The following is a 27209-nucleotide window of genomic DNA, read 5'->3' on the forward strand; positions in this document are numbered from 1 at the left end:
GCTTTTGAGGGCCATGAGATGATCAGATGTGCATTCAGAGAGATCATTGGCTGGATCGTGGAGGACTGGAGACCTCGGGAGTCTGTTGCCTCGGAAAATGATAGTGGCACTGGAGATATGAAGAACCGAGAGGTCGAGGTAATTGTCTGGATGTTTGGGGCCAGGGAGCAGCCATCCGTGCTGCCTCTGATGCCTGGCTGACAAGGAGCCTAGGAGAAGAGCATGTTGGTCAATTGGGGAGCTTACTCCATTCCAGGCAGGTCAAGTCAGAGCGACCTATGGGCAGCTCGATGAAGATGACATCACCATATCCTTGATTGTGAAGCTCTGATTTTGAGGAAGGGGACCCAAAGTTAGAGATGAAGATTTGGGAGTCATCAGCAAAGTGGTTCTTAAAACTCTAGGAAGGAGTGTGATATGAGTGGGGGTAAAAATGAGAAGAGGATCTTGAACCATGCTCTGAGGACCAACATTTGGGGACCAGTGAAGGCAGAGAAATTCACAAAGAAAATAGAAAAAAAGTAGCCAGGCAGGTAAGCGGTGTCCCAGATGTCAAAGGAAGCCAGGGCTTCCAGGTGTGAGAGTGGTTCACACTGTCAAATGCACCAAAGTGTAGAGAGAAAAATACCCACTGGATCCAGTGGCAGGGAGGAGCTTCGTGCCCTTAAAAAAAAAAACCGGTTTCAGTTCAGCAGTTCAGTGCTAGGGCAGAATGCCATGGGAGGATGTTGGGGGAGTTGTCTTAAAATTGAGGTATTTTATCTATTTTGCTTAAGCTGTGTTGATGGTTTTCTCATTTTATAGTTCAAAATACCCCATAAAGGCTCAGGACTAATGAAAAACAATTTATTAGGCTATGATATTAACAATTATTTTGTCTATGTATTACCAGTATCTGAAAGCTTGTTAGTATGAATGTGTCAGCGTTTATTCTCACTGAATGTTTTTCAAAGAGATGGGAAGATTACACATCAGAAAATTCCGTTTCTTGATTTAGAATTGATATTAATCCCCAACATTTAGGAAGTAGGGGAATTTAATCATAGGAAGTGCTTATGTTGTTTCAAATTTGATTTTTTAAATAAAATTAATTGAATTATGAGAAATTACTGAAACTTATTTCTTTGAAAAGTCTTGTAGTAAAGAAATTTATTCAAATTCTTTGTATTTTTTTTGTTTGTTTAAAACAAAGTTTTTTTTCTTTTTTTTTTTTTAGCTCTTTTGTGGTTGTTAAAATCCTACTTCTAATTTGTTGGAATAACAAATTTATGCACTGATAGTTTGATCAGATCACACCACGTTTCTGTTTTTTCTTAGGACTGTCAATAAAATAAGGCAGTAAGAATTCTTGATTCATAGCCTAAGTGCATCACAAAAGGGAGGTTACTCATACAGTTATTCTGGCCTTATTCTGTCCTAATTATTATGAAAGTTAATTTTCTTATTAACAGACCTTTGGGTCAAAAAGTGAGAGTGTAATCCCAATCCTTGGGCAAGTCACTTAATCTCAAAGTCTTCATGTCTTTATCTGTAATGGGAGAAACTAATATGATCTGTCCCACAGATGTGGAAGAATGACCTGGCACACAGTAAGTGTGCAGTAACTATTACTAATTAATTAGGGAAGCATTAACTATACAGGGGACAAAGGCAATGATGAGCAGGAAACTGTTTACATCCAGAGTTCTGAGTTACTGATTTAACTGCACTAATCAGTGACTTAGCTTAGACAAGTCATTTAGTCTACTTAGTAAAGTCCCAGAGCACTTGGAGTCTATATGGAATAATATACTGTTTATTATCCAAATATAAGTTAAGCAAATTTAAAATACATACGTTCAGGTTATTTTAAAAAAAAAGAAACTTGACTGGGTCTTTTTTATAGATTCTCTGGGCTGCAAATTTTAGGTATTATCTAATGATTTTTCGTTGTATCACCCAGAGACTCCACTGAATTTTTTGTTAAAAGGAAGGAAAAAAAGAAAAGCCGTAGCAGGTGTTGAGGTGTGTGTGATACCTTTGAAATGACTTTAAGCATCCCATAACATCTTTTTGTTCTCTTGTTTTTTGAATTATCTCTTGCTGCTTCTGCATTTTACTCAAATCGATTTTCAAATATTTTCTTTCAATAAAGAATCAGAGGGAAAATAGGAACTTGGGATTTACTTGCTTAGTGCCTGTTGCGTGATAGCAGCGGAGCTCTCAGGAAAGCTGGTTGGAGAATTGGTGATGGAGCACTTGGATTGTTAGGTGGGGATGCCGTGAGCCTTGCCACGTTCCCTTCTCCCCCTACATCTCACTTTATACTCATGCCAAGGAATATTGGCTGTTGATTATACAGTCATCCCTGGTTGTCTGAGGGGGATTGGTTCCAGGACTCTTCAGGCATCAGACTCCAAGGCTGTGCAAAAGTCCCTGATATAAAATGGCCTAATAATTGCATATAACCCATGCCCATCCTCCATATACTTTAAATCACCTCTAGATTACTTAAAGACCTAATATTAATGCAATGTAAATGCTATGTAAATAGTTGTTATGCTGCATTGTTTAGGGAATAGTTACAAGAAAAAAAGTCTGTACATATTCAGTACAGTCACAGTTTTTTAAATGTTTTCAATCTGCAGTTGGTTGAGTCCACAGATGTGTAACCCACAGATACGGAGGACCAACTGTGTTTACTTACAAAACGAGATGAATCAATTCACTTATCAGTACTCGCAGCAAGTGTTTTCCTGACTGCTAAGACTGCCTATGGTAAAATCCCTGTCTTCTGACTGCTGTGAGACAGCCTGGATTCCACAGAGTCCGAAGGAATTTAGAAATTATGAAAGGCTTCTGTGTGCAGAACAAGGACTACAAATATGGCCTTTAGTGCCCAAAACCATATTGTCTGCAAGTCTTGGAGATTGTATTAGCTCCATAGCAGTTATCTTAGCTGTTGTTTCATGCCTCATTGTTGCCTATCATCGAGATTTTTTAGAAGGAATATAGTGTTCTATTTCTTGTCTCAGAAAAACATAAAGTATTAAACTTTTTTTTTAGCAAGCTCATGAAATTTCATCTTCTAGCAGTTAAAACATTCTCAGTTCTCAACAGCTAGAGTTAAAAAGTAAAAGTTATTGAAAATATCGTCTGTCTTATTACTAAGCTTCAGAAATTGGATTTTAAAAGAAGAAGAAAGAATATTAAAAGTCAGAGGAAGGAGAGCAAGACAGCTAAATGTCTAGCGAACCACCACCAAGAGCCAGTAGCACTCTGTACGTATTCCTGGCCTGATCTTACAGACAAGGTCAGGCCTTAGAAATATTCGGTAACTTTTCCTAGCTTGGCTAAGCAAGATGTAATGAGTAGATAGTGGAGCTAGCATTCAAATGAGATCAAACTGAAAAACACAGATTGCTTTCCATTCTATTCAGTTTCCCGTATGTTTTCTCCATCACAAAACACAATATTGTCTAATTGATTTGCACAAAGATATGCCTGTTGGCAGTTTTAAAGACCATGTCCCAATAATTGCCTTCTATTAAGACAAAGAAAAAAGTTATATTCCTCCAATCCCTGTTGTGTTCTTGTTATGTTTGAAATGTGCTTGGTCCTAAGGATCTGAAAATAACCAGGTAAATACAGAAAAGAAGTGAAATCTGTACTAGGCCCTGAAGGATGAAAAATCCACGTGTGCTTACAGAGAACAGGAAAACAATGGCCTTCAGCTGAAGCTGGCACCTTTTAAAGGACAATTTTATATTTATTTCTGCATTAATCAAAGTTCTAGTCAGTGCCCAGGTCCAAAGTATCTTGTTTGGAGCTGTGTTTGGAGAGGGTGGGATATTGAGTAGGGGTGAATGATGAAGGGGTTCATTGAAGCCGCTGAGAGCACATATTCGCTGGTTTTGTGTGTTCAGGTCCACATTGCTCCAAGGTGAAAGCAGTTGCTTTGAAGGCATGAAGAGAGGCACTTTTTCTTCATAGCTGTCTTGAAGCAGGCCGGGGCGAGTCTCACAGAGTTTGCCCTTGTACTTCAGGCTCCATTTCCTGAGCTGTGTATGATGGGGCCCGCCCCTCCTGTGGTGAAGAGTCTGTGGCTGCTGAGTGGCATTTCAGTCAGACCTGAACTGAGCCTGCCTTTGCCCAACAGGAGTCGGCCTGCTGAGGCAGCATCTACCCGGCTCATCAGTTTGTGCTAGGACATGCCATGCCCTGTGTTACGTTCAATGCCTTTCAGGTTCCTCTGGAAAGTAGCATCACTGTGACCTGTAGATTAATAATCATGTTTGTCTTTAATCCATTTAGAATGAAGAGGTCACTCTCGGCACTCGATGATTTAGGGGAATGGACATTGGCCTGAATAACTGATAGCAAATGTAGCAAATTATTTCCTGTGAAGGACTCTCCCATCCCAACTTTAGAAAGTGCAGCCCCGTCTCAGCTGTGGGAGATGGCCAGTGATGTCCACAGGTCCTGGCTGTGTCACTCCTGATTCTGTGTAGTCATTGTCCATATGGGAGTTGGGATTATGGGTCATTCCAGCCCGTGGCAGCCTTGGTTCTTGGCTGATGTGCCCATCCTTCCGCCCATGTCCTAAAGCTGATGGCCATGCTTTCCCAGGGGACAGCATGACTCTCCCCTGGGGCCTGCCTCTCTGCCTAGCACCTGTCCTGTAGTTCTTGGTAATGGGGCCATATCAAAGTTAGTGGGGACATAAAGTTCCAAGGATGTTCCTGGGTTCTGGATATGTCTGTACCATGAAGGGAGGCAGCTGCTTTGCAGAAACAACAGGGAAGCTGCAGCAGGTGGGAAACTTTGGTGCTGGTCATCTCTCTGCACTTAATTCGGAGGTGATCATAGAAGAAAATATCTACCATGTCATACTTAAAATAAGAAGATATCAGAAATGTGGAGCTCAAAGGAACCTTAATGGCCACTCAATCTCAAGAACCTTAATGAACCTACTCAGTCTCCAGAAATCCTCCTAGAGAGGTCAAGTGCTGACTACTGTTGTGAGTTTGAGATACTGCTATTAACTTGCCTCTCCAAGAATTTTATGACATTTCTTTCCCATAGGTATGTAAATATATATGGGTTTTGGGACCAGCTTACCAAAAATAACTTTCTGTATCTATAGAATAAAATTGATCATAACATCCTATGTGTTTTCAACATCTATTTTTAAAAATTAATTTTAATTTTTATAGAGATAATGTCTTGCTCTGTCACCCAGGCTGGAGGGCACTGGCCCAATCATAGCTCACTGCAGCCTCGATCTCCTGGGCTCAAGGGATTCTCTCACCTTAGCCTCCTGAGCAACTGGGACTCAAGGCATGTGTCACCAAGCTGGGCTAATTTTTTTATTTTTTGTAGAGATGGGGTCTGCCTATGTTGCTCTGGCTGGTCTCAAACTCCTAGCCTCAAGTGATCCTCCCACCTTGGCCTCCCAAAGTGCTGGGATCAAGGCATGAGCCACCACACACAATCTTCAGTGTTTATTTTGTCCTCTCTGATTTCTCAACATTTAATATTAATATGTAAGTTGGATATCTCCACTCCTACCTACGGATCTGATCCCTGTGCTTAATCCTTTTACAGTGTTGCCAATAATCAATGATGGTCATTTCCCAGTTCCAGTGAGGTAGTGGTATCTTATCCAAAGAGAAGAGATTAATTTGGGGGTTGGATTTTTCTTTTTTCTTTTTTTTTTTCCAAGTCAGGGCTTCCCTCTGTCACCCAGGCTGGTGTGCAGTGGTACAATCTCAGCTCTCCGCAGCCTCAACCTCTCAGTCTCAAGTGATCCTTCCTCCTCAGCCTCCCAAAGTGCTGGGATTATAGGTGTGAGCCACCAATGCCCAGCCAGGATTTTAAGACTTCTTTGAACTATGGTTTAGGTTTTCGTTGTAGGATTCTTACTGATCTGGTAAATGTAGGCTCTGATCACTAAAAAAAAAAATTAAGCTGAAAGTCCTATCTCCTTGTTCTATCATGCCCCTTTCTACATTAGTAGTGGCTTCTTCCAAAACTATCTTAGAAGGGTGGCTGGCAGATGTGCCCATCCTTGAGCCCATTTCCTAAAGTTGATGGTAGTCCTTTGCCACAGAATAGTGTGACTCTCTTCCCTGGGACTCTTCCATCTAGCACCTGTCCTGTAGTGCTTGGTAATGGGGCCATATCCAAGCTGGTGGGGACATAAAGGGGTTGTTGGGTCACATCCTTTGAGAAGATGCCTGATTTCAAGGCAGTCTTTGTTTATTTACTTGTTTTCCTTCTTTTTATTTTGTTTTGCCTACACAATAATCTCTAGTGAATGCCTCTGGCTTAAGATCCTGTAATCCCAAGGATGTTAGTCTAGTGCCCTGACCCCGTCTCTGGATTGAGAAAAAGTGCTTGGGAAACAGAAACTATCCTCTTGTACCGGATGCCGATGAAAAGTGAAAGTGAGCAAACAGCCTACCAAGTTCTAAGAAAATGAGGCCAAGAGAGCTTTTGCTTTTTGAAAACTAATGATTTTAACCAAAAAAAAAATTTTTGTAGAAAATGAAAACACTGGATTTTATTTGCCTCCTTCTGGAATTTAGGCTTTGTTGGAATGGATAACCTTGAGAATTAATTCCTACTTTCTGCTGCTTTGTGTCTGAGTATTATGCATTTTACCTTTTCATTCTGACTAAACTCAAGCCCACCCATTCATTCCATGGTCTTCACTAGTTAGAAAAGATACTGATATTGAAGATTTTGCCTCATGGCAGTGCTTCTCCAAGTATGTTGTATAGTTTCTTGAGTTGTCTAGAACAACACTTCTGAAACCTGAATGTGCATTTGAATAACCTGGGATGTTGTTAAAATGTTGATTCTGATTCTGCAGACCTGGGGCAGGGCCCAGGAATCTGAATTTCTCACCAGCTCCCAGTCATGCTGATACTGCTGGTCCATGGGCCCTACTGTGAGTAGCAAGGCCAGAGGATACTTTCTTTTGGTGTAGTAATATGTGTTGTCATAAAAAAAGAGCGTCATAGCCAAATACGATTGTTAAATTCTATGTTAAAGAAGATGGCACAGCTGTCAGTGGGAACTTTTTAGAGCCTGTGATTACTGATGAATCCTGTAGGATATCCAAAAGGTAGATACAATATACAGTGGTTTTCAAACTCTTTTCTTGGAGCGTATTATGCCACTAGTATTCCATGAGATATACTTAGGAGACTTTACACGAGAGAGAGAGTAGTCTGCTGTGAAAAACAGTATCGAGGAGTCTTTTGAGCCTATAATTTAATAAACTACCACCTTTATTGAGAATATGCCTGTATTGAATGAATTGTCTATTAAACATCTTAAGTATTTGCCTCTTTTAAATCATCTTTTTAAATTCCTGTAAGAGGCTGGGCGCAGTGGCTCATGCCTGTAGTCCCAGCACTTTGGGAGGCCGAGGTGGGCAGACCACCTGAGGTCAGGAGTTTGAGACCAGCCTGACCAACATGGTGAAACCTCATCTCTACTACAAATACAAAAATTAGCCGGGCATGGTGGTGTGCGCCTGTAATCCCAGCTACTCGGGAGGCTGAGGCAGGAGAATCACTTGAACCCAGGAGGTGGAGGTTGCAGTGAGCCAAGATCGTGCCACTGCACTCCAGCCTGAGTGACAGAGCAAGACTCCATCTCAAAATGAAATAAAATTTCTGTAAGAGAAAGATTTTCAGCTGAACTGGTCATAAGAGTTTGTGTGATCGTGTGTGTTTTTCACTTGTAGTGCGGGTTACTAAGGCTATGAGTTTCCCAGAAAACTGTCCTTACCTGGATTTGAGGGTGGGATGCTCCAGATCAATAGAAATAGCCACAGATATTTGAAGATAAGAGAAGCCTACGATATAGTATATAGTCAACATGTGTGTTATTACTAATCATACAGCTTTCCATTCTGAGTTCATGCTGTGATTTCTCTGGGAACTAGCATGTTATTAAGGGACCTCAGGTTTTTTGGAGCGACAGCAGCAGCGTGACGGCTAACATTTATTAACCCCCAATGAAGAGCCAGTGCTTCTCTAAACACTGCAATATGTTCTCGAGTAATTCTGTGAGGATTATTGATTGGTGCTGCAGTTATCCCCACTCCGCAGATGTGGAAAGAGAGCTGCCTAGAGACTTGGAAACTTTCCCTAATTTTGTTATGGGAAAGCAGCTTTTGAACACAGGCAGTCTGACTCCAAAGCTCATCACTATAAAGCATGCATTTTACTAATTGGCACTATCACTTGTTTAACATGTATGTATGTATGTGTGTATGTATGTATGTGTGTATGTATGTATGTATCTATTTTAGAGACAGGATCTAGCTCTGTAACTCACAACACTGGAGTGCAGTGGTGTGATTATAGTTTACTGCAACCTCGAACTCCTGGGCTCAAGTGATCCTCCCATCTCAGACTCCTGAGTAACTAGGATGACAGGCATGTGCCACTCTGCCCAGCTAATTTTTTATTTTTATTTTTAGAGACAGGATCTTATTCTGTCACCGAGGCTGGAGTACAGTGGTACGATCATAGCTTACTGCAGCCTCCACCTTCTGGGCTCAAGCAATCCTCCCACCTCAGCCTCCTGAGTAGCTGGGACCACAGGCACATGCCACTATGCATGGCTAATATAAATTTTTTTTTTTTTTTTTTTTTTTTTTTAGTAGAGACAGGACCTTGCTATGTTGCCCAGGCTTGTCTCAAACTCCTGGGCTCAATTGATCCTCCCACCTTGGCCTCCCAAAGTGTTGGGATTACAGGTGTGAGCTACCTTGCCCAGACCTAATTTTTTTTTTTTAGAGATAGGGTCTTGCTATGTTGCCCAGACTGGTCATGAATTCCTGGTTTTAAGCAATCCTCCTGCGTCATCCTCCTGAGTAGTTGGGATTACAGGCATGAGCCAGCGGGCCCAGCTTAAACCCACATTTACTAAGAGATGACTGTGAGGTCACTACTTTGCGTATATATTACCTCATTGTTCATAAAGTTAAAAAGGCCGTGTCTTCTGCTTATGGGGAAATGGAAGGAAGCTCACTCTTTGTTAACAGTCATTTTACAATATGAAAGACTTGCTCATTGTAGATAATTTGGAAAGTATAGAAGAGTATAGAGGAAATAAAAACAACCCAGAATATATTACCTGGAGAGAACTTACATGTATACCTTTACATGTATGCCTTTACATGTATACCTTTTGAACAAAATCACTCTTTTAAAGTGATTTCATAAATTTATAGCTAACTTAATGTAATCTCATAACTCAAATTTTTGTCATACCACAGTGTGAAATCCTAACTGTATTTTTGAACTAAGTGACCCCTGTGCTTTTCTCTTGTGAAATAAATACCTTTTGAAAAGCTCTCTGAAAGTTTAACTCAGGTTTTGGTTTTGTAGTTAAAAGCAGCACACACCATTTCTCCTACCTTCACTGAAGGCTCTCGGCAGCACCTGATGGCTTGTGAGTGTGTTTGTCTTTGGTGTATATAGGTTTTGCCTTAGTTTAGAATTCTCTCCTGAAGTCCCCCGCAATGTCACTGTAGCCACTAACCCTTGGTCACACGGAGTGTGGAGCCAGCTGTCAGTTTCTGGGCAGGCTCTGGCCGGGAACGCATACAACGTCAAAGCAGTGAATAAGCGATTTCTGCAGTTCCCGTAGCTGCCAGCCTGTGCAGTCCTCTGTGATGCTTGGGGACCGGCTCCTCGGTCACACCCCAGTCCTGCTCTGAAGGTTGCCGTTTTCCAAACAGAAGGATGGTAGCTAGAGGGGAGATAGCAAGATTCTGGAGTCTGGAAAGCCTTCACTTGGGTATGTGTGCAAAGAATGGATTGTTGTACTGTGACATGTTGCCGATTCAGCTCTTTCCTTCCCAAGTTGCAGTTCTTCCCCTCTCTCTCTCTCTCTCCACTCTCTCTCACTCTCTCTCTCTCTCTCTCACTCTCTCTCTCTCTCTCACTCTCTCTCTTTCTCTGCTGCTTGTCAGGTGTGAGCCTGTGGGGAAAAGCTCACTCTTCTAGTAAAGGGTGCTGAGGATAGTTTTAGTTGTGGACATAGTCAGTTGAAGAAATTGGTTTTGTTTATGGCACAGTTGCTTGTTTGGAGTAGAAAATCATAAGAATCAAGCCTGAACCATCCTTCCTGAGGAAGGGGTCTGGGTTTTGCTGCTGATATTGTTACTAGTTTTGCTGCTGATATTGTTACTGGTTTTTGCTTCTATTACATGAAATTCCTTTATTCAATAGATTATTGGTGGTGTGTATAAGAATGTTTCTTGCTAATTGAGGATGTGTGAGGTTTAAGGCTGTGAGCTGATCTTTGAAAAATAGTTTCCTGTTTCTAAAGTGACATTACCCAGTATTTGCTTACTGCTTTGTGCCTTATCTCCCGCTTTCTTTTTAGTATTTCTGTGAGTATTGTCTATTTGTCTATTCTGTGAGTATTGGACTATTTGGACTATTTAAATGTGAAAGAAACTTTGTACTCTCACACTAGGAAGCCATAAACTCTAATCCTCACATTCTGAAAAGGAAGTAAGAAAAAACAAGACTTCACAGACAGGCTTTTCCCTGGCTGCACTACATGGATACAATAGGATGCTTTAGAAACAGATCTTGTCTCTGTTTTTGCCCTAAATAGATGCCAGCGCCTCGCCTGAAATGAATGGGAACCGTAGATGGCAGCTCGAGGCAGCCTGGGGCCCTGTCAGAGCAGTACAGTTTGTAGTCTGTGCTTTCTTCCTTGTTTTGATTGGTTTCTGTGCTGCTGACAGACAGAAAGCAGGGATGTGGTTACGGCTTCTGTGTCTGGTGGATTATCAAAACAAGACTGGTGTGTACTCCATTTTACGAGCCAAAATTTAGAAAAAGGAAAAAAAAAGTTGCCTGGCGATTTCTATATTGAGAACACAGACCACATGAGTGAGAGGGCTCGGTAATGCTAGCGAGACGGCACTGGCAAGACCTGGGTGGAGGAAGCGGACGTGCGGGTGCTCCCTCCCAGGGTTCCTGCACCCATGGCCTTGAGCAGGGGCGTGTTCATTCCCACCGGGAGTGCAGCCAGCACGAACGGGCAGGGGTGGGGGGCAGGTGGCCCCTGGCTCTCCTCCAGCATTCCTCCACCGCCTTCCACACAGGGGAGGCCGAGGGAAGCCCGACCCAGCCTCCAGCTCTGAGCGGTGCTCCCTCGGTGCTGCTGGAGAAACAGCATGCCAGAATCTGCCCTCTGCGGCCTTGACCCTCTACAGCAGTCCCTCACCTGCCTCTCTGAGAGGGGCCTGGGTCAGTGCACTGCGGAAACTGTTGCCACTCCTATATGCGCTATACTGAGTGAATACATGTAATAAAATGACAACAAGCACCATATTTAAAACAAATAATAAAGCTTGCCTATGGTGGGTTTTCTTTCCTTTGAGAGCTCTGAGAGGGCAGGGGGCAGGGGAGGGGTTGTGGGGCTCTGAAAGACCCTGAGGGACTGCCTAGTGGCTCCCAGGAGGACGCCATGTCAGGGAGGGCGGGTTTATGGGTTGTCTGCCATCTTATGCTGTCCTGTCCTGTTCTCCTGTCAGTGTGAGTTGAAGCCGAGCCTGAGACAGGCTCATAGCAGGATCGCTTTGCTGGCAGACACACCTGGCTTTGAATCCAGCCCCGCAACTTGGGGAAAGTTACTTAACATCTTTGAGCCACGGTTTCCTCCTTCATAACCAGACAGCAACACTCCAAGATGCTTGTGAGGCTCTCAAGAGGATTTATTCCAGCGCTGAGCGCAGTGCCTGGCGCACATTAAGATGCCAGGAAGCCGGATGGGTGATTGCTCAGGTCTGTCCAGCCAGTTGGGCAGCCGTCAGAAACTGGGAGGGCTGACGAGACACCAGCCCAGAGAGCTGTCAGGGAGCGGCAGAGCAGAGGAGAGGGCCCAGGATGGATCGGCAGGTGTCAGCCAGGATGGACGGGAGGAGCCGTGCTCAGAGCCAGCAGCCCCAGGACGAGCAGCTCCTGGCTAGGAACAGAAGACAGGCACTGTGGGACAAGTCAAAGGTAAAACCTAAGAGCTCACCGCAAGATACAAAGAAGCCCAGAGCCAACGACGCCCCAGCTCTGAACTGGAGACGGGACAGAGGCTGAGTTTTGAGAGCAGGAGGGAGTGGAGCTGCTGGCTTGGTTGTGGGGTCTGGAGCCAATGGGGTGTTGGCTGCCCAGGGTGCAGGGCCCTAAGTTGAATACTGATGTGAAGCTATACATTAAGAGAATGATTCTTCAAAGCTCCTTAGACATTAATAACAGATTATTAGTGAGAGTTAATATGTCAGTTTCTAGGATTCCTTTTGATCTTATTGTTGTCCACATGTTTAAAAGATTGAAAAATACTATTTGTGAAGAATGGCTTGAAAGTCTAGATTAGATATACTAGTGACTTTTCCAACACTAACAGTTTACATTCTGGAACATGAAACATATTTCATACTTTAATTCAGTCACCCAACACTGACTATTAAGCATGTTCCTTGTCCTTGAGAAAGTCATAGCTAGGATAAGAGTAGGGACAGGATATAAAGGGACAGATATAAACTTAATAATAACTATAATGTAAATGCGATACATATTTTAAAAGAGGTTAGTCTAACATGTTTATAGAACATCAAAGGCAGATATTGTTATGGCAGAGGATCAGGGAACTGAAAAATAAGTCATGGAACCGTCACCAAGCAATGATGGTTACAACTTTTGTTTGTTGTTTGGTTGGTTTTTGTTTCCTTAAGTTTATTTTTAAATAGAGATGGGATCTTGCTATGTTGCCCAGGCTGGTCTTGAACTCCTGGCCTCAAGCAATCCTCCTGCCTCAGCCTCCTAAAGTGCTGAGATTACAGGCATGAGCCACTGCGCCCGGCCAATGGTTAAACTTTTGAGGGATGAGCCAGAATTTGATGGGCTGTTTTGGGTGGGAAAGTTGCTCCAGGCGGAGAGGTCAGCGTGGACGGATGGAAGGATTTTGTCCTATTCGTTGGAATAAGGAACATTCAGTGGTACACATTGGCTAACGCAGAGGTTTCCAGCCAATGCAATCAGAATCCATTGCCTGCAACTTGTGGCTTGCTGCATGGACAGGCAACAAAAGGCATATGTCCTAGAACAACCTGAGCATGTGGTGTGGTTTAAGTAAGCTTAACCTGAAGGTCCAGTGGTTCCCAAATTTTTCCAGGTGTCAGAATCATTTGAGGAGCTTTTCAAAATAAATTCTCAGCCAACATCCTTCCCCACTACCACCACCCAACCTGACTCAGTGGCCCAGGGCAGGGGAGGATCTTTATTTTTCTAAACATTTTCCATGTGATTAGATGCCACAGGCCCTGGGTGTTTGGGAACCACTGAAGGGGGATGGACCCTGGAAATTGTGCATCATGTTTTGACGTTGTCAGTTCCTGTGACCCAGCTCTTTCCCTCTGTGTGCATCTCCGTGGCCTGAGCTCTTGGGGTTCACCCATAGTTTCAGCCCACAGAGCAGCAGCCCGTGACAGCTGCTCCCAGCTGTGAACACGAGCTGCCCGCCTGGGCTTGCCATTTCTGTTTTTAAGATGGGAAGTCAGAATGGCTTATCTCAACTCTGAGGAAGTCTGAGCCATCAGCAAGAGGTTTTCTCAAATACATGATTTTAGCAGATTATTTTAAGGGTGGGGGAATTTCCCTGAAGTCAAGGGAGGGGAAATTCCCCACCAAGGAGTGATGCTGGGTGGGAGATGCTGGTCGGGAACCAGCTGCTCATTAGCTAGGCAGTGTTGGAGAGTGCCTCATGAAAATAGCTAAATCTATGTCTCCTTGTTGTCAAGTGCCTGATGTTTAAGGGCTGTGTTAGATCTCACCTCCCTTTCATTTAACAGAACACCTCAACCTCCACCCTGTTATCACACCCTCACCAGGACTACCCTCCCCCACTTATCAGTCAGGGGCTTTTTTTTTCCTGATGTCTTCTCTAACTGTATTTGTAACAATCCTTCCAATTTAAAAAAATGACACCTCCTCTATGGCTACCACATTGTTCTCTGTAGTAGTTCCTAAAGCTAAAAGTGGCCAGGGCTGAAAATGGGGACTGGGGCATTCTACTCACTGACAGCTGCAGCCAGGAGGAAAGCAGAGAGGGGGAGGAAAATGAGACATTTGTGTAAGGGATGGACTGGGGAAGGACCAATGCAGCCCCAGGAATCAGGGGCCCCCAGAGGGCAGTGTTTCTAGGAGTGATGGTTAACCATGGTTATTGAACAAGAGCATTATAAATTCACTTTATTACATTTTTGGAATTGATAGTACTCTGTGGAACAGATGTGTTCTCTTGGAATTGTCCCCAGTCAGAGAGGCGCTGATGGTCAGCACGCAGTTTTGATGACCAAGGGTGTGCTCCTTCTACCTGACTGAAGCTGCGGGAAGTGTTGTAGAAAGAGCCTGCTCTGTCTGCTCTCATATTGATTGTATGTAGGCATTTGGGGTTTTAAAACTGATTTCAATTTGGAGCAGTCTTTGCTTCTTGTTTACAAGATCGTTTCCAAAAATGGCTTTTTGGGCAAGGTGCAGTGGCTCACGCCTGTAATCCCAGCACTTTGGGAAGCCAAGGCAGGTGGATCACCTGAGGTCAGGAGTTTGAGACCAGCCTGGCCAACATGGCGAAACCCCATCTCTACTAAAAATACAAAAATTAGCTGGATGTGATGGCACGCACCTGTAATCTCAGCTACTCGGTAGTCTTAGGCAGGAGAATCTCTGGAACCCTGGAGGCAAAGGCTGCAGTGAGCTGAGATCGCGCCACAGCACTCCAGCCTGGGCGACAGAGCAAGACCTTGTCCCTCACCCCTCCCCCAAAAAATGTTTTTTCCACACCAATTTTTTCAACAAAAGAAACTACGGTTGGTGAGAATGTGGAGAAATTGGAACTGTTGCGCACTGTTGGTGGGAATGTGAAATGATGCAGCCATGTGGAAAACAGTATGGAGAGTCCTCCAAAAATTAAAACTAGAACTACCATTTGATCAAGTATGCTAAAGAGTTGTAAGCAGGGTCTCAAAAAGATAGTAGCACATTACTCACAATAGCCAAGTAGTAAAAGGAGCCCAAATGTTCACCCACAAACAGGTAAACAGAATGTGGTGTGTATACTCACAATGGAATATTTTTGGTTTTTTCCTTTTTTAAAAATCAATGGAAGTGCTAACCAAACAATGGAATATTATATAGTGTTTAAAAAGAAGGAAGTTCTAACACTTGGTACACATGAATGGATGTCAAGGACATTATGCTTAGTGAAATGAACCAGCCATAAAAGGACATATACTGTATGATCCCATTCATATGAAGTATCTAAAGTAGTCAACATCATAGAAACAGAAAGTGGAAAGGTGGTTGCCAAGGAACAGGAGAGGAAGAAGAGGAAGTTGGTGTTTAATATGTGTGGCCGTTCTGCAAGATGAAAAAGTTCTGTCGTACAAGAGTGTGAATATACTTGACACTGCTGAACTGGAACTGTGTGCTTAAAAAGGGTTAAGATGGTAAAAGAAAGGAAGAAAGAAACAATAAAATTTACTTTTTAATTATTATAATACATTCATTTCTCCTGATTTTGGTGACATACATTTTGAGAATTTATAATAGCTTTACAGCGTCAAAATTCCCTTAGATAAGAAGTCATCATTATTAACTTTCATCTGTAGTTGAGGTTCAAAGCCTATTGAAGTTAGTGAGGAATGGAACATGTAGAGGTGAAGAAGGCAGCAGCACCGGCCTGTGGGTCTGGCCATTGTGAGGAACTCTGCCCAGCAGAGCTGGCATTGACACGCTGTGGACTACTACATCTAAGATTTTTCAGCTGAACTGCAAATTGCTATTTCCCCATCAGCAATTCGTAATTCAATTGAACAATGTCTACTGAGAGTATGTGACACTTTAAAAAGTGTTCAAGTAGAGTGGAGTCAGATTACAGAGAAGATATACCGTAAAAGAATTTTGTTATGAAGCAATAGACAACTCGCATGTCATTTCTTGTGACATCATAAAACCACTGTTTTAAGAAGTTCACCTTGGGCCGGGCGCGGTGGCTTACGCCTGTAATCCTAGCACTTTGGGAGGCCGAGGCGGGCGGATCACAAGGTCAGGAGATCGAGACCATCCTGGCTAACATGGTGAAACCACGTCTCTACTAAAAATACAAAAAATTAGCTGGGTGTGGTGGCGGGCGCCTGTAGTCCCAGCTACTCGGGAGGCTGAGGCAGGAGAATGGCGTGAACCTAGGAGGCGGAGCTTGCAGTGACCCGAGATCGCGCCATTGCACTCCAGCCTGGGCAACAGAGCAAGACTCCGTCTCAAAAAAAAAAAAAAAAAAAGAAGAAGTTCACCTTGGAAGTAATATATAGGATGGCTTGGGGAGGGAAACAGAGTCATGAAGACTGGCTGAGGGATTTTTCTAGCTAGAATCTCAGATGAGCACAGGGGTGGGAGTCAGAGAGACCTGGGTTCCTATCCTGGTTCGGACCCAGCCCCTGTATAGCCCTGATAAATGACTCAACTTCTTGGAACCTCAGTTTCCACATCAGCAATTTGCAGTTCAATTGGAAATCACATACTGAGTGCCTTCTGTATGCCAGGTACTATGCTAGGGGCTGGGAAGACAAAAATCAAACGTCTGTCCTTTCCTTTAAGTCTGTCCTGTCCTTTAAGATGGTAAGCGACCTAGACAGTAAGCGTGGGGAATCATAGAAAACCACCAGGCCTGGACGAAGCATCAAAGCATAGCACAAAGATTCTTCCTGTCTAGACATCAGACACTGAGAAATCCCACTCCATAAAACACACTTGAATTATGGGACAGGAACACAGGAGTCATTAACTTTAAGGGACTTTAAAATCGTGAAAGTAGTTAGGGTGGTGAAGGGAAAAGGATACAACCAGAAAATGGAATCAGGTCCTTGACAGGCCCCACTGGGAGCAGGGATTGGTAGTTGGAAGGAAGGGTTAGTGAGGGAACGGAGGGCAGGACATACGGCTGCTCTCCAGAATGGGAGCAAAACACACAGATTTGGATACTAACACTGTTTTTAATATCATTTTGTCTTATTACAAGTAACAGCTACTGCTGGAGGAGACAGTTCTGCCCAGTGGGTAAGAGTTAGATGGCCTGAGCCTGCTGCACACAGCTGTGTGTTATTGGGACTTGAGTTTCCTCATCTGCAAGTGGGGACAACTGACAGTACCTCCCATGTAGCATTGTCATGAGGATTATATGAGCCGGTTCATCTCCACAGCTTAAATCAGTGCCTAGCACATTATAGGCACCTGATAAAATAACATCTTGCAATTCTATTTTTAATTTTTTTTTAATTTATAGAGATGGGTCTTATTATGTTGCCCAGCTTGGTCCCAAACTCCTGGGCTCAAGGGATCCTCCTGCCTCAGTCTTCCAAAGTGCTGGGATTACAAGCATGAGCTACCACGCCCAGCCACATCTTGCAATTCTATACTGTTTTTCAATTTACAGGGTGCTTTCATGTATCATCATTCCACTTGAGGCTCAAAGCACACCAATAACAAGTACTTGTTCAGAATGTATAAACAACCCTGAGAGATGGGTTTTATCATCCACATTCAACAGGTGAAAAAACAAAGAAAGAAACTTGACCAAGGACTCATACTCAAAAAAGAAAAATATAGAAAAGAAAAAAAATGTGCATCGCTATCATTTGAAGGCAAGTTCATCTGACCCCAAAGCCTTGCATGAAGTCCACATGCTGTTTTTCTTTCCTTCCTTCCTTCCTTCCTTCCTTCCTTCCTTCCTTCCTTCCTTCCTTCCCTCTTTCCTTCCTTCCTTCCTTCCCTCCTTCCTTCCTTCCCTCCTTCCCTCCCTCCCTCCCTCCCTCCCTTCCTTCCTTCCTTCCCTGCCTCCCATGTATGCCAGGCAGGAACACAGTTAAGAATAAAGCAGACAAGAATTACTGCCTTTCTGGAGCTTACATTCTGGATAGTGAACAGAATACATTATAGACGGTGACAAATGCTATGGAGAAAACTAAACCAGGGGAGACAGTGGAGTGAGAGTGAGGGTTGTGGTTTTGAGTGGTATGGTGAAGGTGAGAGAGGGAGCCAGTGTGTGTGTACCTGGGGAGGGCTGTCAGGCACACGGAGCAGCGGCCCTGGGCAAGGAGTGCCTGCGGTCTTTGCAGCCAAGAGCCCATTGGTTGGAGAGGGGTGGGAGGCACAGTGTATCTGGGGAGAGGTCTCAAGAACTTTGGCTGTCTCCCCTGTGGATGATTCTGAGCAGAGGAGTGACACAATCCAGTCTAGGAATGGTTTGGCAGCATCGCTCTGGCAGCTATGGCCTGCCGGGGGCAGGGGTGGCAGCAGGGAGACCAGGAGGGGCTGCTGGAGGGAGCCCGAAGCTGGATGGGAACCCAGGCTTAAGTGGTGGGAGGGGACCCAGGCTTGAGTGGTGGCAGAGGGGTAAGAGGTAGCCAGATCCTGGACACTTTCAGGAACTTGAATCAGATCTGCCAGTGAGTGGGTCGTGGGATGTGAGAGGTGGAAGAATAACCTCTGAATAGATAAAACATACAGGCTAATGCCTGCTTTACAGATGGGAAAACTGAAGCTCAAAGAGCTGAAGTGACTTGCACCAAGGTCATTTAGTTAGGAAGTTAGTGAAGCAAGGACATTCACCCAGGAATTTTCACTCCAGGCTCCATGACTTTCCCTCGTCCATGTTTCAAGTCTCTTGCCCCTGGCCTCTGCCCCCCATCTCCTGGCCAGGACTGAGTCAGCCCACCCATGAGCGCTTCAAGCCATCTTGCTTCCGCAGTGTCGCTAACTACTAATCCATGATGTTGAAACAGTTGCTGTTGAAACCTCTCTTGTGATTAACCTCAGCCAGAGTTGTCTTTTTTCTTTACTTTTTTCTTTTGAGGCAAAGTCTTGCTCTGTTGCCCAGGCTGGAGTCTGGTGGTACAATCAGAGCTCATTGCAGACTGGAAATCCTAGGCTCAAGCCATCCTCCCACCTCAGCCTCCCAAGTAGCTGGGACTACAGGTGCGTACCACGACCCCGGGTAGAGCTGTTTTGCTAAGTGTTTATGAAGAACTCAGAGAGCAGTCAGTATTTCCAGTCCGTGTCTCTGTCCAGAGGTTTTTCTCCTGGTACCTCCTGTAAAGGTCTAACTTTTCAATAGACTCCTGTTAATTGTGAATTTATACATGATTACAACCAGCTTTTTTTCTTTCTTTACTGATTTTCACAGCAATAGCTAGATCATGGTAAAGAATTCTCCCTTGGAAAACACTGTTCAGTTCTTCGAGGAGAAAGCGTCATTTTTCAGAGCTGTGCTGTGGGTGGGAAGCCCCAATGCCTTTATTTTACTGAGATGCACTTTTTTTTTTTTTTTGGCTCAACCACGGTTTAAATTGATAAGGAAAAATGCTATTGGTACCAGACAGTGCCAGATCAGTGGTTGCTAAAATTGGAAGATTCCTGCTGCTTTAGGCATTAGACACCCAGACTTTGTGTATATGCTCCTCACCCAGGAGCATCAGGATATCTCGGCCAGTAAGCAGCACAGTTCTTGGGCCTCGTGGTCTGGGCAGCCGCTCCAGGGTTAGAGAAGGCCTTTGTCTTCAGTGTTGTTTCCCTTGGAGTCTAAAACACACTCATGCATGAAAAAAATGATGTGCTTCCTCAAGACATCCCCCAACCCACCCCCAAACTCACACACCAGCAAAGCATACTAGACTAGGTGACCTCCTGCTCTCCGACTGTACGCACCCTGGCCTAGCATAGGAAGCAGAAGTTACATTTAAAACGAAACAGTCACCATGCGTTGTTCAGGCTCCCGTGTTTCTCAGACAGCACATGTCTGGCTTTCTCAAGGCCTCCAGCCACACCCCCAGCCAGACAGACATGGGTACACACATGCATAGCTGGCTCCCTGCTGCCCACCCACCCGTGCTCCCAGGGTGCACTCCCTTCTCCTGAGGCGCCAGGCCCTGCCATGCCCCTGGCAACCGTCCCCTCTCCTTTAATGAGCAGGTAAGAAAGCTAGGGCCCAGAAGGCAAGACCAAGGCTGTGGAGCGCTTTCTTCTGCCTCTTGGCTTTGTGCTTAGGCCCGGGAATTTACTCCTCCCCCTCCAACCCCGTCTCTTGGTCTCTTAGACAGCTCACTTTCACTTTTTCCTCACAGACACAGGCCCTGACCTTTCCTGACCAAAACTGGGGATGGGCCCAGGCAGGGGAGTGGAGGTGGGTAGAGGGTGACTGGCACCATGCACTCAGAGCCTGGAACCCTGACTTTGTCCACACTGAGAGCTCTCCCCTGGCTTCCATTGTCAGCTGCTCCAAGGTTCCCTGGCTGTCGCGGTGTCCGGCGCACCTGTCTGGGTGGTTTCACGGCTGGGGCACAGGTGCGGACCCATGGGCCATGCCTCAATGTGGCGTGTGCTGTCATGGACGTAAGCAGCTGGTTCTCCTGGAATCACAGAAGGGTTCTGGAAAGGAGGTGATGGTGGCTGGGATGTCGGGGTTTCTCTGAGAGGGGCACCCCAGGCAGAGGGGGAAGCAACTGGAAAGCCAGAGCCCATGAGCAGACCCAGCTCAGTGGGCACCACTCACAGGTGCTGTGTCCAGAGCTCAGGCTTACAGGACTGGGGCTGCCAGGTGGGAGGTGGCCTGAGCACAGTCTGAGAGAGGGGCTGGGGCCGGGCTGGGAGAGGCGCCGCTGGCAGCACGTGCACACCTTCCTGCTTTCCCTCCGTCCTGCTTCAAGAGCTCCGTGCATCACCAGTGCATGAGCTTGAACTCCTCCTCATCATGACAGCCCTGTCTGTGCTTGGCAAGGAAGACCTAAAATGCTGGTGCATGAAATACTACTTCTGCAGTGTTGATTACCCCCATTATTGTGGATCTTTTTCCATGTTTATCATTGTTCTAGTGCCAGACTCCTGGGCTCTATTTACAGAATTGGTTGCTTGTGACAGCAGTGTGGCTGAAGTGATGAGGGGAGGGAAGGGAGGAGAGGCATAAGGGGAGCAGGAGGCTAAGCATGATGGTGGGGGGTGGGAGTCTGGGGCTGGACGTGTGTCTGCCGAGCACCTGGCACATGGCCAGTGCAGGTAAGATGAACTGTGCATAGAAAATGCAGGTTAGATTGATCCGAATATAAAACATCTCCCCAAGAAAGAACTCTTCAGTCAGAAACCAGACCCATCCTTTTCTAGTCAAGTAACTAGAAACGTGGATTTGCCAAGTCCTTGAGGAAAGCAAGCCCATGGAGCACCATCCCAGGGCGACCTTCAGCCAGCCCTCTGTCCTTGCTGGCACACCAGCTTCTCCCTCAGGCTTCTGCTTTTTGTTAAATCTCCAGGGAACTTGGAATTTTTCCAAAACATCCTTGACTGTATCTCTGTTGCTGCAGGCATGAGCTTGGCCTCCCAACATGGATCTCAGTTCCTGATGCCATTTCCTCGGGCAGCTCTTGTTGCTGCCCACTCCCACTAACCTGTGTTCTCCCCAGCTGGCTTCCCTGGCCCCAGGCTCTGCCCCAACAGCTCTTCCTCCACGTCGTAGCAAAGTCTGTCATTAGCCCAGCCCTCATCGTGCGGGACACCATCACCACAGTAGCACTCTCTGTGGAGTTCCAGCTACTTGTCAAGGATGCTAAAAGTTTCACCTGCATTCTGTGGCCTGATTCTTCAAAAAGAAGGACATGAAGCTCAGAGAAATGCAGTCACTTGATTTAGGTCCCATGCCCACAGAAGGGCAGGACCAGAATTCAGACGAGACTCTGTGACCCTAAAACCTCTTCTCTTTCTGTCATATGAGGGGACTCTACTTAGGTCCTGTGGCTTCCTTTCTCCAAACCCTGGAACAGCAGCCCAGGATGAACTCTAGCCTGTGAGACCCTTCTGTGTGCCCCCGATCTTTGCAGTCTTGTCTTTCATGAGATGTGCAGGGAGTCTGTGGAGCATGTGCTTCGAATCAAGCCACCTGTGATTTGCAATCGGGCCATCGCACTGTTCTGAGTCGCCTGCTCCTCTTCCAGGAAGCCTTTCCCTGACTGGGGAGGATCCCTTCCTCTTTAAAATCCTGCCACTTGCTTCAGACTCTCCCTATTATATTTCCACTTCCTGGCTGCAGTCATCAGAATTCGGGTTTTATTGCATCCCCTTAAAGACAAGGGTCATCTGTTGTATAGCTTTCTGTCCCCAGCACCTGACAGTCATTCCGTTGGAAAAAATACTGATAGATTGCTTCTTGGACTTTTGGCTAAGATCAAGTAGAGAAACAGTGATGGAGACATCCCTGAACTTGCACAGGAGGACTGAGGCCATGAGTCTGAAAGAAGAGACTGCTCAGTGACAGATTGTTGGCTTTGCCAAGGGTGGCTCATTTTCCCAAGAAAGAAAATCTGACTAGCAGGGTGGCCAATCTAAAAAGCTGCACCATCCTTAAAAGATCTTTCTCTCTCTTTTCTGGTAAAAGTACTATATAATTCCTCATTCTCATATTTTGAGTTCCAAGCCTTTCAAATATGTACAGAGAGTAAGAATGATGGCACTTTTCTACTCAAGACACTGTTGGGATGTACTGGTTTTAGTAATACTGTTGCCTTGCAGATAAAGGATGGAAGCAGAATATTGGATCATCTTTTTCATCTTTTTTACCTCCTCAGCTTTCCAGCACATTGCTTGGCAGCATTGTTATCTATATTTATGTTGTTAATATCCAGTTTGGAGCACAGACTTCCAACTAAATTACACATAATATCCTGATGGTCTTCACTCTGCAAATGGTATTGTGTTGGCAATACACTCTTTAACATTCCACCTCTCACTTAATGTCACACTTAACTGCAGCTCTTAACTTTGGAGTAATGTAGACATTTTCTAATAGTTTCTTATTCTGAGTAAGATGCAGATGATTACCTTCCCTTGGGAGTATGTTACCAAATTTTTTCATCATATGAAAAAATCTTGTTAGCTGTGTCTTTTAAATCATGCCTTTGTTTTGTATGTTTTAGTTTCTTCAGATGGAGGTACTGAGCCCTCTGCCTTAGTGGATGACAACGGTAGTGAGGAGGACTTCAGCTATGAAGACCTCTGCCAGGCCAGCCCTCGGTACCTGCAGCCCGGCGGGGAGCAGCTGGCCATCAATGAGGTACTGGAATTCCACACGACAGTAGTGGATACGGGATACCTGATTTTCAGGGTCCACAACCACTTCTGACTTTGTTCCCTAGTTCTTCTTTACTAAGCATGTCCGAAAACCTGGAACTCTGATTAAAACAACACTGTGATTCACTTTGGAAGGCCAAGGCAGGTGGATCATTAGTGGTCAAGAGTTTAAGACCCGCCTGGCCAACATAGTGAAACCCTGTCTCTACTAAAAATACAAAAAAATTAGGTAGGCATGATGGTGCGCACCTGTAAACCCAGCTACTTGGGAGGCTGAGGCAGGGAGAATTGCTTGAAGCTGGGAGGCGGAGGTTGCAGTGAGCTGAGAGCACACCACTGCACTCCAGCCTGGGCGACAGAGCGAGACTCCATCTCAAAAATAAAGAAAGAACAACACTGTGATTCTCTGACCTCGTCCAGGAAAATATATGGGATTAAGCTTTCTGGGTAGAGGCAGCTCGTCTTTTTAGGTAAGGAACAGCAGCTCCCCATCAGTGTTCGGCCAGTGCTTTCCACTTGATAAAGAATACCCTCCCCTCCACTATCTCATGTAATTCTCACAACTGATCTAAGAAGCGGACATTATGGTTATTATCCACATTTTCATCAACGCTCTAAGGAAAGATGTCTAATTACTGGCTGGCGAATGGCAGAGCTGGAGGCACCCATGTATTTCTCCCTCCAAATCTGGTGTTCCTTTGGCCACCCTGCAGCTTTAGCTTTTTTTTTAGGAAATCATTCTGGAAGATACCTCCAGCTTTTGGCATTCTTGAGCAGAACGTGTGGAGCATAACTCCTTAGTGAGTCAGCGTCTTTACTGAGATGGCCAGTGATGTGTATCGTTGGGCGCTAAGGAGATGGGCAAAATCACCTGCTCCCGTGGCCAGGGGATGGAGGAGCCACATCTGTTCCTGACTTTTTAATTGTTAACGATCTCAAGATCATGCTATGTTCTCTTCAATTGCTGTAAAGTGTAAAGTTAGATGCAAAACTTACTCGAATTGTGAATAAAGTATGAATGATCCACACTGGAGGGAGATGTGAGGGACTTCCAATAGCATATGTGCATAACTTTAGTAGGCTTGGCTCTGTGACATCTAGTACGGCTGCCAGAAACCATTTTTGGAGCAAATATTTCAGAATTCAAGTTTGCTAGATAACTGACCTGCTGCTAAGTGAGCAGCTAGTACTTTTTTAAAAAGGGGCCTGCCTGCCTGCCTGCCTTCCTCCCTCCCTCCCTCCCTTTTTTCTTGCATTTTGCTCTTGTTGCCCAGGCTGGAGTGCAGTGATGTAATCTCGGCTCACTGCACCTCCGCCTTCCAGGTTCAAGCAATTCTCCTGCCTCAGCCTCCCAAGTAGCTGGGATTACAGACATGTGCCACCACATCTGGCTTTTTTTTTTTTTTTTTTGAGACAGAGTTTTGCTCTTGTTCCCAGACTGGAGTGCAATGGCACGATCTCCGCTCACTGCAACCTCCACCACCTGAGTTCAAGTGATTCTCCAGCCTCAGCCTCCCGAGTAGCTGGGATTACAGGAGCCCACCACCACGCCTGGCTAATTTTTGTATTTTTAGTAGAGATGGGGTTTCACCATCTTGGTTGGGCTGGTCTTGAATTCTTGACCTCAGGTGATCCACCCGCCTTGGCCTCCCAAAGTGCTGGGATTACAGGTGTGAGTCACCACGCCCAGTTTAAGCGCTTTCTTTAAAAGCAGGTAGAGATGTCCTCCTGACTTTGTTTTTTCTTAGTCTGTTCTCCTGGGTTCTCTTTGTGTAACCAGTCACATAGTCAGTGTGGACCAAATGCCACCAGCATATCCAAGTGAGAGGATACCAGTGTCACCCTGAGAGAGTGCACCTAGTGGCTCCCTCACCATCCCGCCCACTCGTGCTCTATGCTGAGCGCACCCCACTGTCTCCTTTCAGCTGATCAGTGATGGCAACGTGGTCTGCGCAGAAGCCCTGTGGGACCATGTGACCATGGATGACCAGGAACTGGGCTTCAAAGCCGGGGATGTCATCCAGGTTCTGGAAGCCTCCAACAAGGACTGGTGGTGGGGCCGCAGTGAAGATAAGGAAGCCTGGTTCCCCGCGAGCTTCGTCAGAGTAAGTGTGGGGTGCTTGCAGCTTTTCCAAAGTACCTGGGGGAGCTGCAGGATCCTTTCAGGTCAGAACTCGCCTTTTATCAGGTCAGCTCTTTTGTAATTGATATCTGACATGCAAGTCACACCTGTAAGAAATTAGGCTGGGTCGGAGCAAAAATGTTAAAGGCAGGCAAGCGAGTTGCTCGGTGTTTCTCTGTGGTCCTCGTGCCTGCTGGCATAGCCGCAGCCCTGCTGAGGCCATGAGACTCAGGCGAGGGCCAGGCTGCCTTCCTAACAGGTCACAGGAAAGTAGGAACCTGGGAGGTCTCCTGCCTCTGCTCCATGCTGCCCTCCCCTGCCCCAAGTCACCTGTCCCCTGTATGTGGGTTGCAGTTGCGAGTGAATCAGGAAGAGCTGTCGGAAAACTCCAGCAGCACCCCCAGTGAGGAGCAGGACGAGGAGGCCAGCCAGAGCCGCCACAGACACTGTGAGAACAAGCAGCAGATGCGGACCAACGTCATCCGGGAGATCATGGACACCGAGCGGGTGTACATCAAACACCTCAGGGACATCTGTGAGGTGGGACGCCAGGCTGGGACCTCACTGAGGGTCACAGTATGAGGCTGCATGAGGTGCCTGGGCTTTCTCCCCACCTCCACCCCCCGCCCCCCCATCAGGCTCCCACATGTATGCTCATTTCTCCGCCTCTGCTGTCTGCACTGCTAAGTCTGAGTGCTGCGGCTGTCCTAGCTGTTGGTGGAGGTTTTTTAGAGTCAGGGTCTCTTTTCAGAGACAAGGCTTTTCTTAGAGATAGGGTCTTGCTCTGTCATGCAGACTGGAGTACAGTGGCGTGGTCATAGCTCACTGCAGCCTCAAACTCCTGGGCTTTAAGCAGTCCTCCCTCCTCAGCCCCCCGAGTAGCTAGGGCTACAGGCATGCATCACCACACCCAGCTAATTTTCTAAATTTTATATAGAGATAGGGTCTCACTGCGTTGCCGAGGCTGGTCACGAACTCATGGACTGAAGCACTTTTCCTGCCTTGATTTCTCAAAGTGCTGGGATTAGAGGCGTGAGCCAGTGTGCCCGGCCCCTCTCTTAAGTGCACTCTGCAACTATCTCTATCAGGACCTAATTCCTGAGATTATTTGAAAAGAATGGCTTTCATAGAAGGCAACACCCTCACTTGATTTTACAAAGAGTCAAAGGTTTGTCACTATCTGCAACCCCGCTGCATCTAATCACCAACTGACAGATGAGATCCTGAGTCATTTAGACACAGATGGGAAAAAATGCTGGTTTTATATTGGTCATATGAAAGGCTATATTCTATTGTCATGCTATTCTACTTGGCAACAAATTTTATTTTATAGTTTTATCCTGATTTCAGAGAACTTGTCATTAGTAGAGGTGCACCTGAAAGGTTTTGTCTTCCTGTGGTATTTTGTGCTTCTATGGATTGTGTACGAGCATCACACTACACTGCTGTTCGCCCTGTCTGCTCATTACGGCTCTCCTAGCTGTAAATGCTGATATCTGCACTATCAGTTCAACGCTGACCATTCAGTGCTGAAGACAGGTTGAAGTCAGAGAACTGCCCGTTCTCTAATCGGATTAGCCAGCTGTGTGGACATGCCAGTGTTTAGCTTCTTTGTGCCAGCCATCTCGTTCTGTATGAGTGTGTGGCGAAAGAAGCAGGTCTGCAGTGCCATTTAGGGAAATAAGAGGAAGTGCCCATGATTATTGAGCATTGACTGTTTGTCACCCCTCACCTGGATTAACTCAGCTACCACAGCATTCCCCCTGAGCAGGTCCTGTTAGCCCCCATTGCAGATGGGGAAACAAAGGCACAGAGAAGTTAAGTGGTGGGATTGGATTTAAACCCAGGCAGTCTGCCCCAGAACCTATCCTTTTCTGAACTATTACATTATATTGTTTTCCTGTTAA

General features: G+C 45.6%; 1 protein-coding gene across 6 annotated transcripts in view, besides 7 other annotated features; it reads left to right on the forward strand.

Annotated features, from left to right (window-relative positions):
* SPATA13 (spermatogenesis associated 13) overlaps nucleotides 1-27209 on the forward strand; it is a 327268-nt gene that overhangs the window by 281307 nt on the left and 18752 nt on the right. For 3 of the 6 annotated variants that reach the window (NM_001286792.2, NM_001166271.3, NM_153023.4), the window contains 3 exons: nucleotides 23027-23163; nucleotides 25106-25285; nucleotides 25657-25842. In NM_001286792.2, coding sequence (NP_001273721.1) covers nucleotides 23027-23163; nucleotides 25106-25285; nucleotides 25657-25842 — 503 coding nt within the window. Of the gene's footprint in view, nucleotides 1-9641; nucleotides 9805-17505; nucleotides 17714-23026; nucleotides 23164-25105; nucleotides 25286-25656; nucleotides 25843-27209 lie in introns of those variants that run through there. The other 3 variants (NM_001286794.2, NM_001286795.2, NM_001286793.2) reach the window with 3 other exon arrangements.
* Nucleotides 6245-6394: an enhancer, noted in NCBI's record as "active region_7473". NCBI's record gives its function as "activates an Ori minimal core promoter by ATAC-STARR-seq in GM12878 lymphoblastoid cells {active_cell/tissue: GM12878}" and the evidence as "EXISTENCE:reporter gene assay evidence [ECO:0000049][PMID:35858748]".
* Nucleotides 9385-9524: an enhancer, noted in NCBI's record as "active region_7474". NCBI's record gives its function as "activates an Ori minimal core promoter by ATAC-STARR-seq in GM12878 lymphoblastoid cells {active_cell/tissue: GM12878}" and the evidence as "EXISTENCE:reporter gene assay evidence [ECO:0000049][PMID:35858748]".
* Nucleotides 10285-10404: an enhancer, noted in NCBI's record as "active region_7475". NCBI's record gives its function as "activates an Ori minimal core promoter by ATAC-STARR-seq in GM12878 lymphoblastoid cells {active_cell/tissue: GM12878}" and the evidence as "EXISTENCE:reporter gene assay evidence [ECO:0000049][PMID:35858748]".
* Nucleotides 13513-13802: an enhancer, noted in NCBI's record as "active region_7476". NCBI's record gives its function as "activates an Ori minimal core promoter by ATAC-STARR-seq in GM12878 lymphoblastoid cells {active_cell/tissue: GM12878}" and the evidence as "EXISTENCE:reporter gene assay evidence [ECO:0000049][PMID:35858748]".
* Nucleotides 14103-14162: an enhancer, noted in NCBI's record as "active region_7477". NCBI's record gives its function as "activates an Ori minimal core promoter by ATAC-STARR-seq in GM12878 lymphoblastoid cells {active_cell/tissue: GM12878}" and the evidence as "EXISTENCE:reporter gene assay evidence [ECO:0000049][PMID:35858748]".
* Nucleotides 19872-19951: a silencer, noted in NCBI's record as "silent region_5177". NCBI's record gives its function as "represses an Ori minimal core promoter by ATAC-STARR-seq in GM12878 lymphoblastoid cells {active_cell/tissue: GM12878}" and the evidence as "EXISTENCE:reporter gene assay evidence [ECO:0000049][PMID:35858748]".
* Nucleotides 20285-20784: an enhancer, noted in NCBI's record as "H3K4me1 hESC enhancer chr13:24855531-24856030 (GRCh37/hg19 assembly coordinates)". NCBI's record gives its function as "activates a minimal SCP1, AML or CMV promoter by ChIP-STARR-seq in primed H9 embryonic stem cells {active_cell/tissue: H9 hESC(primed)}" and the evidence as "EXISTENCE:reporter gene assay evidence [ECO:0000049][PMID:30033119]".

This window comes from Homo sapiens, chromosome 13 (assembly GCF_000001405.40).
Source record: "Homo sapiens chromosome 13, GRCh38.p14 Primary Assembly".
Taxonomy (NCBI): domain Eukaryota; kingdom Metazoa; phylum Chordata; class Mammalia; order Primates; family Hominidae; genus Homo; species Homo sapiens.